Raw genomic sequence first — 15,460 nt, forward strand, 5'->3', positions numbered from 1 at the left:
AGCTCCACTCTTCCATTTATCTATTGCTGTGTAACAGACCACCTTAAAACTTAGAGGCTTAAAACAACATTCTTTCATTATTATTATGGTCCTGGGCTCTACTGGGCTAAACTAGGCAGTTGTTGCTTGTCAGGTCTCTTATGTGGTTGCAGACAGCAGCTGGAGTCATCTCAAAGGCTTCCTCATGTGTCTGGTTGTCAGCTAGGACCTCAGTTGGGAAGGTCAACAGGAACGTCATATAGATGTTGACTTCTCCATGTGGCCTCAACTTCCTCACAGCGTGGCAGTAGGGTTCCCAGAGCAAATGGCCCATAGGACCAGGTGGAAGCCATAAGTCACATAACCTCACTTTCACTGTAGTTAGAGGCCTTCCCAGATTCAAAGGGAGGGACTGTGGATGCCCCCTCTCAATGGGATGACGGATAATGCCCCTATAAGAAGAGCATGAAGGAGCGGAGATTTTGTTATGGACATCTTAGAAAATAAAACCTGCTGGGCCGGGCGCAGTGGCTCATGCCTGTAATCCCAGCAGTTTGGGAGGCCGAGGTGGGTGGATCATGGATCCTTTGAGGTCAGGAGTTCAAGACCAGCCTGGCCAACGTGGTGAAACCTGGCTCTACTAAAAATACAAAAATTAGCCAGGCATGGTGGCCTGTGCCTGTAGCCCCAGCTACTCAGGAGGCTGAGGCAGGAGAATCGCTTGAACCCGAGAGGCAGAGGTTGCAGTGAGCCGAGATTGTGCCACTGCACTCCAGCCTGGGGCACAGAGCGATACTTCATCTCAAAAAAAAGGAAAAGAAAAGAAAAGAAAACCTGCTGCATTCACTAATTATCAAATAAATAAAAACTAATCAATGATGCTTCCCCTTCTTCAAAGAAACAGTTGACTCAGTTAACACAGAGTAAAAAATTCAAGCTCTTCTGTATTAGGCCAGATGGGCTAAGTTATGCTGTAGTGGTAACCATCCCCCAAGTCTCAGTAGCTTAACGTAATAAGTCTCAGTGGCAGATAGTGGCTGTCTTTCTTTCCGGGTTGCTACCAGCTGGTGATAGCTCATGACACATGTCACACTCAGGTTAGTAGGGGAGGCTCTGCTCCACATAGTCACTCAAGGACCCAGGCTGATAGAGGCTCTACCATCTTCTAGCTCCACCATCTGGAACACAGATACCATATCTGGGAAAGAAAGATATGAGAATCGCATATGGGATTTTTATACTTTTTATTTCTTTTTCTTTTTTTTGAGACGGAGTTTCACTCTTGTTGCCCAGGCTGGAGTGCAATGGCACGATCTTGGCTACTGCAACCTCCGCCTTCTGGGTTCAAGTGATTCTCCTTCCTCAGCCTCCCAAGTAGCTGGGATTATAGGCGCCTGCCACCATGCCCAGCTAATTTTTGTGTTTTTAGTAGAGATGGGGTTTCACCATGTTGGCCAGGCTGGTCTCAAACTCCAGACCTCAGGTGATCCACCTGCCTCAGCCTTCCAAAGTGCTGAGATTACAGATGTGAGGCACCACACCCAGCCTTTTTATACTTTTAAAATTTTTATTTTTCTTAAAAAAAAAAAAAAAGTCCAGGTGTGGTTGCTCATGCCTGTAATCCCAGCACTTTAGGAGGCCGAGGTGGGGGATCCATTCAGTCCTGGGCAACATAGGGAGATCCTGTCCTTACCCGCCCCACAAAAAAAAAATTCAGCTGAATGTGGCGACACATGCCTATGGTCCTAGCTACTTGGGAGGCTGAGGTGGGAGGATTGTTTGCTTGGACCTAGGAGGTTGAGGCTGTAGTGAGTCCTGATCATGCCACTGCACTCTAGCCTGGGCAACAGACCGAAAGCCTCTTAAAAAAAAAAAAACCAACAAACATGTGATGGGGTTTGCTATGTTGCTCAGGCTGGCCTCAAACTCCTGGGCTCAAGCGATCCTCCCACCTCGGCCTTCCAAAGTGTTGGGATTACACGTGTGAGTCACTGTGCCTGGACTTATATGGGATTTTTATTGCCTAAGCATGGAAATGGTACACTGTGCTTCAGTCACCTTTCATTGGCCTAAACTAGTCATATAGTTCTCCCTAACTGCAAGGAGATTGGGAAATGTAGCAGAGTAAATGGAGTTATTGGTGAGTGTTTGATGGTATCTGCCACACCTTGTTACAGCCTACAAGGTTATGTCAGATCTGTCCTTCCAGCTTACTTTTTAGACCTTGTCTCCAGGCATTCACACATAGCTCACCTTTTAGCTTCTTCAAGTCATTGCTGAGTTGTCTTCTCAAGGAAGCCTCTCCTGATCACCCTATTTAAAATTGCAACCCATCCCTCACTCCTCTCCTCCACCCTTGAAGTCCCTTACCCTGTTTTTCCTTTTTCCTAGGCACTTATTACTTTTTTTTTTTTGAGACAGAGTCTTGCTCTGTCACCCAGGTGGGAGTGTAGTGGCGTGATCTTGGCTCACAGCAACCTCCGCCTCCCAGGTTCAAGTGATCCTCCTGCCTCAGCCTCTGGAGTGGCTGGAATTACAGGAGCGCACTACCATGCCCAGATAATTTTTGTATTTTTAGTAGAGACGGGGTTTCACCGTGTTGACCTGGCTGGTCTCAAACTCCTGACCTTAAGTGATCTGTCTACCTTGGCTTCCCAAAGTGCTGGGATTACTGGTGTGAGACACTGTGCCCAGCCACAAGGCACTTATTTCTTCTAACATACTAAAATATCTGTCTTTCTCTGCTGCAACGTCAGCTCCACTAGGTCATTGATCTATGTCTGCTTTGTTCAATGATGCCCAAGTACCTAGGGCAGTGTCTGGCACACAGAGGGCACTTAATAAATATTTGTTGAAGGATTAAATTTTTAAAAAAATATTTGCTGCTACCAAGGGTGTGGTTACACTAACACTTCCACACACTTTTAGTGGGACTCTACATTGGCGCAATACATTTTTTAAACAAAACTTTAAATTTTGTACTAATTTTAGATTTATGGAAAAGTTGCAAAGATAGTACAGTGAGTTCCTGTGTACCCCATACTGAGTTTACCCTAAGGTTAACATCTTACATTACTGTGGTACATTTCTCAAACTAAGAAACCACTATGAACATATTACTGTTAAATAAACTCTAGAATTTATTTAATTTCACCAGTTTTCTATTAATGTCCCTTTTTCTTCTGTGCCAGGATCCAGTTCAGGTTACCAAATTGTATTTGACAGCACATATTTTTTAAATGTCCATGTTTCTTGCAGAGAAAGGGGCCCTCTTACCTACACTAGTAGAAAGGCAACTGAGAGGTTTCATAAGCCCCAGCAGAGACAGATTTGTGTTGATTTGCAGCAAAGTCAGTCTGGGCTTCTTTCTGACCCTGGACTACTGGCCCCAGCAGTGTAGACCATTTTCTCTCACTTTCTGTCCCTTCTTTCTTTCTGTGAATTGGTACAGATTTTCTGTAGACATTAGGCCACATGTAAAAAGATCCTTTATAAAGTGCCCCAAGCATCTTCTCATCTAGACATGTAGTCCAATACAGCATTATTTTGTTTTATTTTTTATTTTTTTAATTTTGAGATGGAGTCTCGCTCGGTCCCCAGACTGGAGTGCAGTGGCGTGATATTGGCTCACTGCAACCTCCACCTCCCAGGTTCAAGCAATTCTCCTGCCTCAGCCTTCCTAGTAGCTGGGATTACAGGTGCACGTCACTGGGCACAGGTAATTTTTGTAGTTTTAGTAGAAACGGGGTTTCACCATGTTGGCCAGGCTGGTCTCAAACTCCTGGCCTCAAGTGATCTGCCTGCCTCGGCCTCCCAAAGTTCTGGAATTACAGGCGTGAGCCACCACGCCCAGGCAATACAGCATTAATTTATATACTAAAACTTAAACAATCTAGTTATTTTATAGTGGATGGATTAAGTAGATTATGTTATATCCCATTTAATATGGGAGAATGTTTATAATGATACGTGGAAAAAGCAGGTTACAAGAGAAGATACATAGTGTGGCTCTAATTACAAATATTATTGGAAGAAAATATATCAAAATGTTACAAGTGGTCACCACTTGTTATGGTATCATGAATTATTTTCACCTTTTTTGTTTTTTTATATTTTCTAAATTTCCCACAAAAAATATGTATTATAGTCAGGAAAAAACCTATAACTTTTAAAAAAGTGTATACTCTTTGAACTACCTTCTGTTCTAGTATTCTATTCTAAGGAGTTAATTAGAAATGTAACAAAGGACCCAGTGCAGTGGCTCACGCCTGTAATCCCAGCATTTTGGGAGGCTGAGGCGGGAGGATCACTTAAGTCCAGGAGTTTGAGACCAGCCTAGGAAACATGGTGAATACCCTGTCTTTACAAAAAATAAAACATAAGCTGGGCATAGTGGTACACGCCTGTAGTCCCAGCTACTTGGTAGGCTGAGGTGGGAAGATCCCTTGAGGCCAGGAATTGGAGGTGGCAGTGAGCCGTGATGGTGTTACTCCCTCCAGCCCAGGCAACAGAGTGAGACCCTGTCTAACAAAAAGAAAGAAAAAGATGTAACAAATATTTTGTCTACAAAGATATCCATTACATAATTACTTATACTAGTGAAAATGGAAAACAATTCAACATTGTAGGAATGTTAAATACATATGGGCTATATTATAGGCATTAATAATATTTTTGAAGAAATTTTAAAGACAAAGGAAAATATTTTTCATGGCTAAGTGAATAAAGCAGAATCTAAAATTGCATATACAATATGATCTCAGCTACTCTCAACTCGTCTCTTTATTTTTTATTGTAAATTGACAAATTATAATGCTATATAAGTCTCTCTAGTTTGATTCAACAGAGATAATGCATTCTTATATCACATTATTAAAGTATGCCCTCTAGAACAGTTCTCAAACTGTCTGTAGTGAAGGATGCATTTTTAAAAATTTCCAATCTTTTATGGACTGATACTTTTGTGAAGTGCAAGAAATACTAGTTACTAGAAAACTGAAATAAAAAAGACCTATTAAATACAAGCCTCAATTTTTAAAATTATTACATTCAGATGAAAAATTACTGGCAGTTCCTGTAAGCTTCTAAATGTTTGCTCTCAATTATTGCATTTATCTAGTTGTGGACCAGTAACAGCTTGTGGAGCCCACTTTTAGAAGCACTGCTCTAGCAGAAGCAGCATGCCACTCTGTCATGTTGCTCACATCTGGGCAACAGAGGGAGATCCCATCTCTAAATTAAAAAAAAAAAAGAGCAATATAAGCTTATCGTAATAATAGTACAAGAAGAGCCTTCTTCTCATCTCTACTCTCCAAAGGTGACCACTGCCAAGCTTCTTGTGTATCAGTCCAAAATGACAGCTTTCTACATTGGCACACACAGATCCACCTCATTTTTTTTTTTAAGAGACAGGGTCTCACTGTGCTGCCCAGGCTGGTCTTTTTTTTTTAAATTTAATTAATTAATTAATTATTTTTGAGACAGAGTTTCGCTCTTTTCACCCAGGCTGGAGTGCAATGGCGTGATCTCAGCTCACCGCAACCTCTGCCTCCTGGGTTCAAGCGATTCTCCTGCCTCAGCCTCCTGAGTAGCTGGGATTACAGGCATGTGCCACCATGCCCGGCTAATTTTGTATTTTTAGCAGAGATGGGGTTTCTCCATGTTGGTCAGACTGGTCTTGAACTCCCGACCTCAGGTGATCCACCCGCCTCAGCCTCCCAAAGCGCTGGGATTACAGGCGTGAGCCACCACGCCTGGCTTTTTTTTTTTTTTTTTTTTGCCTGTTGTCCAGGCTGGAGTGCAGTGGCGCAACCTCAGCTCACAGCAACCTCCGCCTCACAGGTTCAAGCGATTCTCCTGCCTCAACCTCCCGAGTAGCTGGGATCACAGGCACGTGCCATCACACCTGGCTAATTTTTTGTATTTTTAGTAGAGACAGGGTTTCACCATGTTGGCCAGCCTAGTCTTGAACTCCTGACCTCAGGTGATCTGGCCGCCTCAGCCTCCCAAAGTGCTGAGATTACAGGCGTAAGCCACCACACCTGGCCTTCCCAGGCTGGTCTTGAATTCCTGGGTTCAAGTGATCCTCTGTCCTTGGCCTCCCAACTGCTGGGAATACAAGCGTGATCCACCATACCCAGCTTCCAGCTGATAATTTTTATTGGCTGCTTAATGTTCCATTGTGTGACTACCCTACTGAGTTTATTGCCAATACGAACAATACTGCAACAAATCCTCCAGAGCTCTTTGCCCACATATCCAGGTATATCCACAGGAAAAAGTCCTTGCTGGGTATGTGCACTTATACTAAGAAAAACAAGCTTTATTGAAATATAATTCACAGACCATACAATTCACCTTTTTAAAGTATATAATTGTGTGATATTTTATTATACTCAGCATTGTGCAGCTATCACCACTAATTACAGAACATTTTTGTCACCCCTGAAAGAAAGCCCATACCCATTAGCAGTCACTCTCTGTTCTCCCCTTTTCCCGGGCCTTTGCAATCACTGATCTACTTTCTGTTCCTATGGATCTGACTATTCTGGACATTTCACATAAATAAAAGTATACAGTATGTGGCATTTTGTGTCTGGCTTCTTTCACTTAGCAGCACATTTTCAAGTTCATCCATGTTGTAGCATGTGTCACTATTTCATTCCTTCTGATAGGTGAATAATATTCCATTGTATGGAGATACTACTTTTGTTTATCTACTCATCAGTTGATGGACATTTGGATTGCTTCCATTTTTTGGCTATTATGAAGAGTGCTGCTATAGATATCCATGTGCAGATATCTGGGTGGACATATGCTTTCAATTTTGTTGGATATATACCTAGGAGAGGAATTGTTAGGTCACATGATAACTCTATGTTTAACATTTTGAGGAGTGGCCAAATTGTTTATCAAAGTGGCTCCACTATTTTAACCCTTCCAGCAATGTATGAGAGTTATTTCTCCACATCCTCACCAACACTGATCATTGTGTCTGCTTTATTTTAGCCATCCTAATGGGAGTAAAATGGGATCTCATAGTGATTTTGATTTGCATTTCTCTAATGGCTAGTGATGGCCAGGCCCAGTGACCCTGGCCTGTAATCCCAGCACTTTGGGAGGCCAATGAGAGCAGATCACTTGAGCCCAGGAGTTCAAGACCAGCCTGGGCAGCATGGCGAATACTTTGTCTCTACAAAAAACACAAAAATTAGCTGGGAATGGTGGCGAATGCCTGTAGTCCTAGCTATTTGGGAGGCTGAGGCGGGAGATCACCTAAGCCTGGGGAGATCAAGGCTTCAGTGAGCCATGATCACGCCACTGCACTCCAGTGTGGGTGACAGGGTGAGACTTCGTTTCAAAAGAAGAAAGGCCATTTGTATATGTTCTTTTGGGAGAAATGTGAATTCAAATCCTTTGCCTATTTCTTAATTAGGTTGTCTTTCTATTGTGATGAGTTCTTTATATAGTCTGGATATAAATCCCTTATTACATATATGATTAGCAAATATTTTCTCCCACTCTGCGGGTTTTTTAATTTTTTTTTGTTTTATTTTTATTTTATTTTTTGAGATGGAGTCTTGCTCTGTCACCCAGGCTGGATTGCAGTGGTGTGATCTTGGCTCACTGCAACCTCCACCTCCGGGTTCAAGTGATTCTCCTGCCTTAGCCTCCCAAGTAGCTGGGATTACAGGCACACACCACCACGCCTAGCTAATTTTTGTATTTTTAGTAGAGACGGGGTTTCTCCATGTTGGTCAGGCTGGTCTTGAACTCCCGACCTCAGGTGATCCACCCACCTAGGCCTCCGAAAGTGCTGGGATTACAGGCATGAGGCACCACGCCTGGCTTAAAATACATATATTTTTTAGAGATGGGAGTCTCACTATGTTGCCCAGGATGGTCTTGAACTCCCTGGACTCAAGCAATCCTCCCATCTTGGCCACACAAAGTGCTGGGATTACAGGTGTGAGCCACCATGTCTGGCCTTTTTTAAAGAGTTTTATAGTTTTATCTCCTACAGTTAGGTCTGTGGTTCATTTTGAGTTTATTTTTGTATCTGGTGTGGGGTAGGGGTACGACTTCCTCCTTTTACATGTGGATTTCCAGTTGTCCTGACACCATTTGTTGAAAAGACTACTTTCTGTTGAATTATCCTGGTACCCTGCACTTAATTTTTTTCATGCCACCTTGTCTAAGAAGCACTTATATTTTTTATATTTCCAAATTGTCCTCCAAAGAGGTTACACTGGCATATAGTCCCATTCATAGGAGCTAAGAAACTGTATCTCAGATTGGGCATTGAAGGTTAGCAAGGACACTAATGAGCTCAAGCTTATCAGGGACCCACAGCAGAGTGGAGTGTTGGGGGAGCTTGAGAGTGTCACAAAAGGGGAGGTTGAAGGAAGTAAAAATGTTTCTCAGAGAAGAGAAAAAATGCTGGGGAATGTATATCTGGTGGGCCTGAGTTTAAAGCCCTGTTCTGCTCCTTTCCAGCTGAATAGCCTTGGGTAGTTATCAGATCCAACTCGGAACCTCAGTTTCATCATGTTAAACCAAGATGAAGACCACAACAACCTTTGTAGGGTTGTTGTGAGGAGTAAATGTATGTAAATATCCCAGCCCACGACAGACTCTCAGTAACGGTAGCTATTGTGACATTTCTATATGTGGTATATGTGGCTGAGATCATGTGATTGTGGGGGAGCATTGCAGCCATTTGGTGAGTATGAGATTTTTAATGATGGCTGATCACATGTAGAAACTTGGATCTACTGGTAAATGTCACTGTCACCCAGAGCAAGGCAGTACTTGAAGTCTTTGCTGTGACATGTTAAGGGGGGGGAGAGGCTGTGACTGAGATTGGATGTGACAGCAAGACAGATCCTGAGTGACAGAATGGAACGGAGTGGAGGGAGGCAGACTGCACCAGGCAAAGGTGTGTCCCCAACAGGAGCTGCCTGGGAGTTCAGATGTCAGGGCAGGTGTCTGTCTCTACTGTCCCCTCCCCAACAGACTTCCCTCCCTACTTTCTGAAAGCAAGGAGGAAAGGAGGGAGCTTTCCCTTCAGAAAGGAGATTTTGATCAGAGTGTAGAATCTACAATACCTAAGGAGTTATGGCTTAAGCACCTTTGATATCACCACCCAAGGCTCAGGAAAAGAACCTGCAGGAACTGTGTGTAAAACGGGTGGGGTAGAAATTAGAGTGGCTTCTCTTCTCAGCTTTAGTCTTCAGAGTGGCCGATAAAAACAGAATAGAAACCTAAGCATTCCTTCCTCCTCTCTGTCCCCCGGGGGAAGGAAGAGAGAATAAATGCCACATCTCATTAAGCTTTTACGATCTCAGGCAGGCAGAGTAGGACCACACCGGAGGCAGGCAGAGGGCTGGGGGAGGCTGCAGGAAGGATTCCCCAGTTCTCTCAGGGAGCTGTGTTCCAGAACTTAAAGGCCGGCTCTACAGAAAATGAAATAAGGGTTAACAACAGATGTGGGAGTAACAGCTGCTTTTATTAACATCAGAAGGGCAACAGTACAGGAAGTTGGGTAGATGTGGGGACAACAGAGAGACTGTGGCAGAGGCAGGACTGCAGATCTATGGAAATTGCCTGGAAGAGTCAGCTGTAAGGGATGAGAATCCTGAGGGTAAAAGAGAAAAGGGAAAGACTCCTCTTTGATCTTATGAAGCTGAAATAACAAGATCTTAAACATGAGTGAGAATCTGTTGCCCCAACCTAAGGTGACTTTAAATCCAAGGTAAAAAACACGGCATGGGTATTAGTTTGAATAGGGAAAATGAGAACTCTCTTTGAGCTCAAAAAAAAAAAAAAAAAAAAAAAAATGAAAGCGTTAAAACCCTGATTAAGTCTGCACAATGATCCAGAGTGTAAGGATGGGAGAAAGAATAAATACCCTAGTGACCCACATATTAAACAGACCACAGACAAGAGAACAAGACTTGAAGCTAATGGAAGGTCATCTTGCCCATGCCGCCATGGGGGGCAACAGTGCCACAATGCCACATGGGCACTAACACACACTGCATCCCCCCAGTCCCTGCCCAGGTTGGAGGGTGTGCAGATCACAGCAGCAGAGCTGCCTAGACTCAGGAAGGGCAGGAACACCCACTGCTGATGCAGTGGGAGGTAGGGATGGGGAGCCTGGCCCTGGCTTTGTGGGAGTGCAGAGAGAAGGAAGGCAGAGGGGAAATCAAGCCGCTGGGGCAGTGCTTGTAATATTGGGGTGACTGTGGGAGGGCAGTAGCAGACACAAGAGTAATGGCTTTCCCAGGTCAAGGTCCATGTCCTACCATCTGGCAGGAAAGCCAGGGGTTTGTCATGCATGATAAAAGCCACACAGCTGGACTCTGGGCAAGGCCCACTTTAGCCAATTAGAAGATACACTGTCTGTGGCCAGGCAGGCAAGCTCCTCCCAGCTGGGGAAGGGGTGAGAATCCCTGGGCCTTGCCCAGTCCTGAGCTCTAGGTGTCTGCAGGGAAGCACAGTGGTGAGTTAGTGTTAAAGAAAGCATCCAGAGAGGTAAGAGGGGCTTGGGTAGCACCCTTTGCCTCTGTCACTTCCGCAAAAACTTCTTGTTGAGGAGGAAGATGAGAAGGTTGACATTGACTTTGGCCTTGTTGAAGAGTTTCATGACAGCCACACCCTCATACTGGAGCTGCAGGAGATCCTAGGAGGGAAGAGGCAGGGAGGGGAGTTTAAGGGCTTCTGAATGTGGTCCAGTCAGATGGTGTACAAAACACTCACATCATGGGGCCTTCTGCAGTCACCAGTGGCACTGGCCACTGAAGTAGGGCATTGAAATCCCACTTCACAAATGAGGAAACTGAGGCAAGAGAGGTACAGTGACTTGATCAAATGTCAACTCAAGCAGAACCAGGGCTTGAAATTGTTTTTCTTATTTTATTTATTTATTTTTTTGAGACGGAGTCTCACTCGGTCTCCCAGGCTACAGTGCAGTGGCGCGATCTCGGATCGCTGCAATCTCCGCCTCCCAGGTTCAAGCGATTTTCCTGCTTCAGCCTCCTGAGTAGCTGGGATTACAGGCAGGTGCCACCACGCCAGGCTAATTTTTGTATTTTTAGTAGAGACAGGGTTTCACTATATTGGCCAGGCTGGTCTTGAACTGCTGACCTCGTGATCCGCCCGCCTCGGCCTCCCAAAGTGCTGGGATTACAGGCGTGAGCCACTGCACCCGGCCAAAATCATTTTTCTTACTCAAAAGGTAAAACATCAGAGCAAAAAGATTTGGATTAAAAACTACTGCTCGGCTGGGCATGGTGACTCATGCCTGTAAATCCCAGCATTTTGGGAGGCTGAGGCGGGCGGATCACAAGGTCAGCAGTTCAAGACCAGCCTGACCAACATGGTGAAACCCCATCTCTACTAAAAATACACAAAAAGCCGGTGTGGTGGCGCACGCCTGTAATCCCAGCTACTCAGGAAGCTGAGGCAGGAGAATCGCTTGAACCCAGGAGGCAGAGGTTGCAGTGAGCTGAGATTGCGCCATTGCACTCCAGCCTGGGTGACGGAGTAAGGCTCCGTCTCAAGAAAACAAACAAACAAAAACCCAAAAAAGCAACAACAACAACCACAACCAAAAACACCGTTGCTTCACTCCTTTCCTGAACACTGGCCTATGACTTAGCCAGCTTCTTAACCTTTTAGCCTAGAGCCTGTAAAATAGGGATAATACTTCAGAGCTGTGGAGAGGATTAAAGGAGGTAACATGTAAAGTCCCTGACATGTGATAGGGCTTCAAATATTAATCCTGCTTCTGACACCAGTAGCCCACTCCACTCTCCCTGATGCTTGCCAGTGGGGTCTGTGTCAGGGCATGGGGAAAGGGGGGCTTGGGCTGCACAGACCCCCACCCTTCTCTTCAGGAACAGACGATACTGATTGGGTGAAAAACTGAGCTGGTGTCATCTGAGGACTAGGAAAGTGAGGCCAGCTGCTCTCTTCAGGCCAGCACCTAAAGCCCAGCAGATGTCCTGCAGGCTCATGGGACTGTCCCCTCACCTGATAGTGAAGCTGAAATCGCTCCATGTCCACACCCAGGAACTTGGCATTTACTTCAAACTTTCCTGCCTCATCTCCCGGCGTGATGTCAAAGATGACGTTTCTGAAGCTGTCAGGAACAGGATTCAAAACAGGAACCCACTGCCTCTTTCCAGGGCTACAGCCACATTCTTGCACCCACTGCTCCTCATCCTGGGCAGCGGTGTCATCCAGAACCAGTTTTCCCTCTGTCACTCCCAGAGGGCCCAGCTCGCTGTCTTCTCCATTTTACTTCTGCTCCCCACACCATCTCTTTATCTGCCCCGCCCTACGCAGCTGTTCTCACCTCTGGAAAGCTTTCCCAGTACCCTCTGCCTCAGGGCATCTAGAACTGTGCTAGACCATGTCCACAGCCCTTCACTTTCTGTCTGGGCATGCTCTGTCTCCACCATCATTCTAGCAGCTCCTTCAAGATCGGGACCATGCTTCTTCTCTTCCACCCGGTGCCCAGCCCAGAGCTCCACCCCCAGGTTAGAGGACAGGAAGGGGCTGACATCCTGCCCTCCAAAGACACATACTGAGAGGCGGGAAGATCTTCAATTTCCACCAAGACACCCTTTTCCAGGAGCTGAGCAGCAGTGTAATGAAGAGAAGGCTGCTTCTTCCCCTTCCCAGAACTCCTGATTAAAAGAAGGCCCCAGAGAATTCATCCAATAAACACTTTACCACCAAAGAAACTTGTTTTCTGTGGCTGGAAAGGAAATGAGACCCCGAGGAAGACTTCTCACTGATGGAAGACAGAGGAGGGGGGCTGCACTTGAGCCCAAGACTTTGTAAATGAGGCTCAAAGACCAGACTTAGGAAGGGACTGTGCTGTGCTGGGTGAGATTCCCCTTTCAAAGCTGGGAGATAGCAGGGCAAAGGTGACATGGGCAGGGGTGAGAAGTCACTCGTAACCTTCCAAGTACGGGAAAGCAGCACCTACTTGGAGTCGGGGGCCAGGTGGTCCAGGCAGGCCCGGATGTACTGGCTGTAGTAGTCACCCTGCTCCTCATAGAAGGTGGTCTTAGTGCTCAGGCCCTGTAATGTGGCCTGCAGCTTCACCAGCTCTGCCTTCCGCCTGTGCCTGTGTCTGTGCTGGTTGCGGATGTCCTGGGGTTGGGGAACAGATGGAGGGATGAGTGGTCCTTCCTGGCAGGAGAGCCTTAGGGCCTGACACAGGCCCAAGAGCTACACACTGTGAGGCTCTTCGGAAGAACAGGCTTCAAGGCTGTTTTCCTAGAAGGAAAATCTCAAGGATGGTATTCCAAATCCTCAAGGCATGTCCTCAGGGCCTCTGCCCGTTGAGGACTAACTGGTTTCAAGGCTGTTTGTTTTTTAGTAAAAGAAAGTTGCAAGGATACTTTTGTAGGTCATAAGCTGAGGATTGGGTTTTCATGCTCTTGTGTGAGATATGCTTCTCTCAAACCTTCTGACCTGGGCACATTACCCAGCTAATGTGGGGAAGAAAAAAAAAAAGAGAGTTGCAAGAACACCTTCCTCTCTAACTAATTTCAAGATCTTTCCTTCAGGCTAGGAGTGGTGATTCACACCTGTAATCCCAGCACTTTGTGAGAGCCTAAGGTGGGCAGATTACTTGAGGTCAGGAGTTTGAGACCAGCCTGGCCAACATGGTGAAACCCTGTCTCTACTAAAAATACAAAAATTTGGCTGGGTGCAGTGGCTCACACCTGTAATCCCAGCATTTTGGGAGGCCAAGATGGGCGGACCCTGAGGTCAGGAGTTCGAAACCAGCCAGGCCAACATGGCCTGAAACCGTGTCTCTACTAAAAATACAAAAATTAGCCGGGCATGGCAGCGCGCACCTGTAATCCCAGCTACTTGGGAGGCTGAGGCAGGAGAATCACTTGAACCCAGGAGGTGAAGGTTGCAGTGAGCCAGGATCACACCACTGCTCTCCAGCCTGGATGAGAGTGAGACTGTCTCAAAAAAAAAAAAAAAAAAGAAAAAAAAATCTTTCCTTCAAAAAGGACCCTCAGCCTTCCTCTGGCTGGTGACAATTTTGGGTGAGGACTCATCAGGAGGGGCCCACCAACACTATGGATTAACATGTATATGCACGCACACACACACACGTACACACAGGCACACGGAGCCCAGGCCCAGGTTGTTACCTTGGCCAGCTCGTCCACTAGCCCCTGGTAGCCATTTCTGGCGCTGACCAACCCCAGGGCTTCAAGTCGGCGTAGGTTCCGCAGGACGCGCCGCTGCTTCTCTGCCAGTGGCAGGAGGGAGTGAGCTGTCAGTGAGCGGTGTCGTCGCAGTGGCTCCGGTGTCTGGGCTGTACAGGCCTGGCGTCGGCTCATCAGCTGCTTGTGGGCTGCTTCCTGGGGACACACAGACGCTGGAGGGGTCTACCAGGTCCTACCATTCTGCTCCCACACCAGTGAAGGTCCCATGGGCACCAGCAACAAAGGGAGGCCTGAGCATTTTTCTGCATATCATTAAGAAAGTGCCCCAGAGCCCAGCCTCTGCAGGATATGGCTGGGGCAGGGCATCGCTTATGAAGAATATCAAGGTATAACACCATAATGCATGGTGTCACACATGGGAGGGCCTCATAGATCACCACAGGGGAAGAGTGGCCCAAAGGAGAACCAAACCCAGGCCATGGCATAAAGGATTCCGGACAGACACTAGCTGTGACTTCCCAACAATGGATCTTTCTGACGGCACAGGATGTTTGGGGGCATTTACCTGTCTGTTCTGTTTTGGGACATACCTCTACTGGCCATCCCCACCTTTTCTTTGGGAAGACCCTGGTTCAGTCTTCACTCCAGCGGGCCCAACCTGCCCCTGGCCCCCCACCTGCCTACTACCTTCTCCTGCCTCCAGGCATTCTAGCAGACCACTCTTCTGAGTGCAGGCCTTCCAGGGGAGCATTCCCAGACGGTCTCTCAGTGCCCCCCATAGCCCTAGTGTTGGTGCTTGTTTCAGTGTGTGAAGTGGGGAGAGGGGTGGGGCCCCATGACTCTGTAGCCCGAGGCTTCCCAAGGCTAAAGCTGTATCCCTCATCCTGTAGGCCTCCAGAGTTCTCATTACTGGTGAGCACAGGTGTCTGCTTCTGGCTGATGTGGGTGAGGTTCAGAGGAGGGAAACAGCAGCGGTGCAGGTGGGATGAGGTGGGGGATGAATGAGACAGAACCTGTGGGCCAGCCCGGCTACTCACTTGCTCTCTGGAAGCCGAGAGGGACAGGATCTCCTTGAGGGTGTCCCCAGGATGGAACTGTATGATATCGGCCAACAGCTGCTTGGTGCTGCACAAGGAGGACAGTGACAGAGGAGAGGTAAGGGGCAGGGGAAGGGCCTGGACATGGGACTGGCCAGAGGTCTGAGAGTAAGTGGACCGTGCTCTATAGCATGGCTGCTAGGATATAAGGAGAGAGAGCGAGGGATAGGGGATGTC

The 15,460-nt window shown here is 46.7% G+C and overlaps 1 protein-coding gene and 1 non-coding gene across 8 annotated transcripts in view, besides 2 other annotated features; one reads left to right on the forward strand and one right to left on the reverse strand.

Moving 5' to 3' along the window:
- Nucleotides 8,898–8,997: a silencer, noted in NCBI's record as "silent region_1430". NCBI's record gives its function as "represses an Ori minimal core promoter by ATAC-STARR-seq in GM12878 lymphoblastoid cells {active_cell/tissue: GM12878}" and the evidence as "EXISTENCE:reporter gene assay evidence [ECO:0000049][PMID:35858748]".
- Nucleotides 9,469–15,460, reverse strand: part of IQGAP3 (IQ motif containing GTPase activating protein 3) — a 47,161-nt gene continuing 41,169 nt past the window's right edge. For all 7 annotated transcript variants that reach the window (XM_047445996.1, NM_178229.5, XM_047445990.1 and 4 more), the window contains 6 exons: nucleotides 15,224–15,311; nucleotides 14,169–14,381; nucleotides 12,980–13,146; nucleotides 12,573–12,674; nucleotides 12,016–12,124; nucleotides 9,469–10,663 (listed from right to left, as the gene is read on the reverse strand). In XM_047445996.1, the coding sequence (XP_047301952.1) occupies nucleotides 10,550–10,663; nucleotides 12,016–12,124; nucleotides 12,573–12,674; nucleotides 12,980–13,146; nucleotides 14,169–14,381; nucleotides 15,224–15,311 (793 nt within the window). In that variant the 3' untranslated portion in view covers nucleotides 9,469–10,549. The remainder of the gene's footprint in view (nucleotides 10,664–12,015; nucleotides 12,125–12,572; nucleotides 12,675–12,979; nucleotides 13,147–14,168; nucleotides 14,382–15,223; nucleotides 15,312–15,460) is intronic.
- Nucleotides 10,107–10,678: an enhancer, noted in NCBI's record as "OCT4-H3K4me1 hESC enhancer chr1:156495835-156496406 (GRCh37/hg19 assembly coordinates)". NCBI's record gives its function as "activates a minimal SCP1, AML or CMV promoter by ChIP-STARR-seq in naive and primed H9 embryonic stem cells {active_cell/tissue: H9 hESC(naive and primed)}" and the evidence as "EXISTENCE:reporter gene assay evidence [ECO:0000049][PMID:30033119]".
- Nucleotides 13,394–13,493, forward strand: LOC124904843 (small nucleolar RNA U13). The gene has a single exon (XR_007067438.1). It is a non-coding gene; the product is annotated as a small nucleolar RNA U13 (small nucleolar RNA).

This window comes from Homo sapiens, chromosome 1 (genome assembly GCF_000001405.40).
Source record: "Homo sapiens chromosome 1, GRCh38.p14 Primary Assembly".
In the NCBI taxonomy this organism is placed as follows: domain Eukaryota; kingdom Metazoa; phylum Chordata; class Mammalia; order Primates; family Hominidae; genus Homo; species Homo sapiens.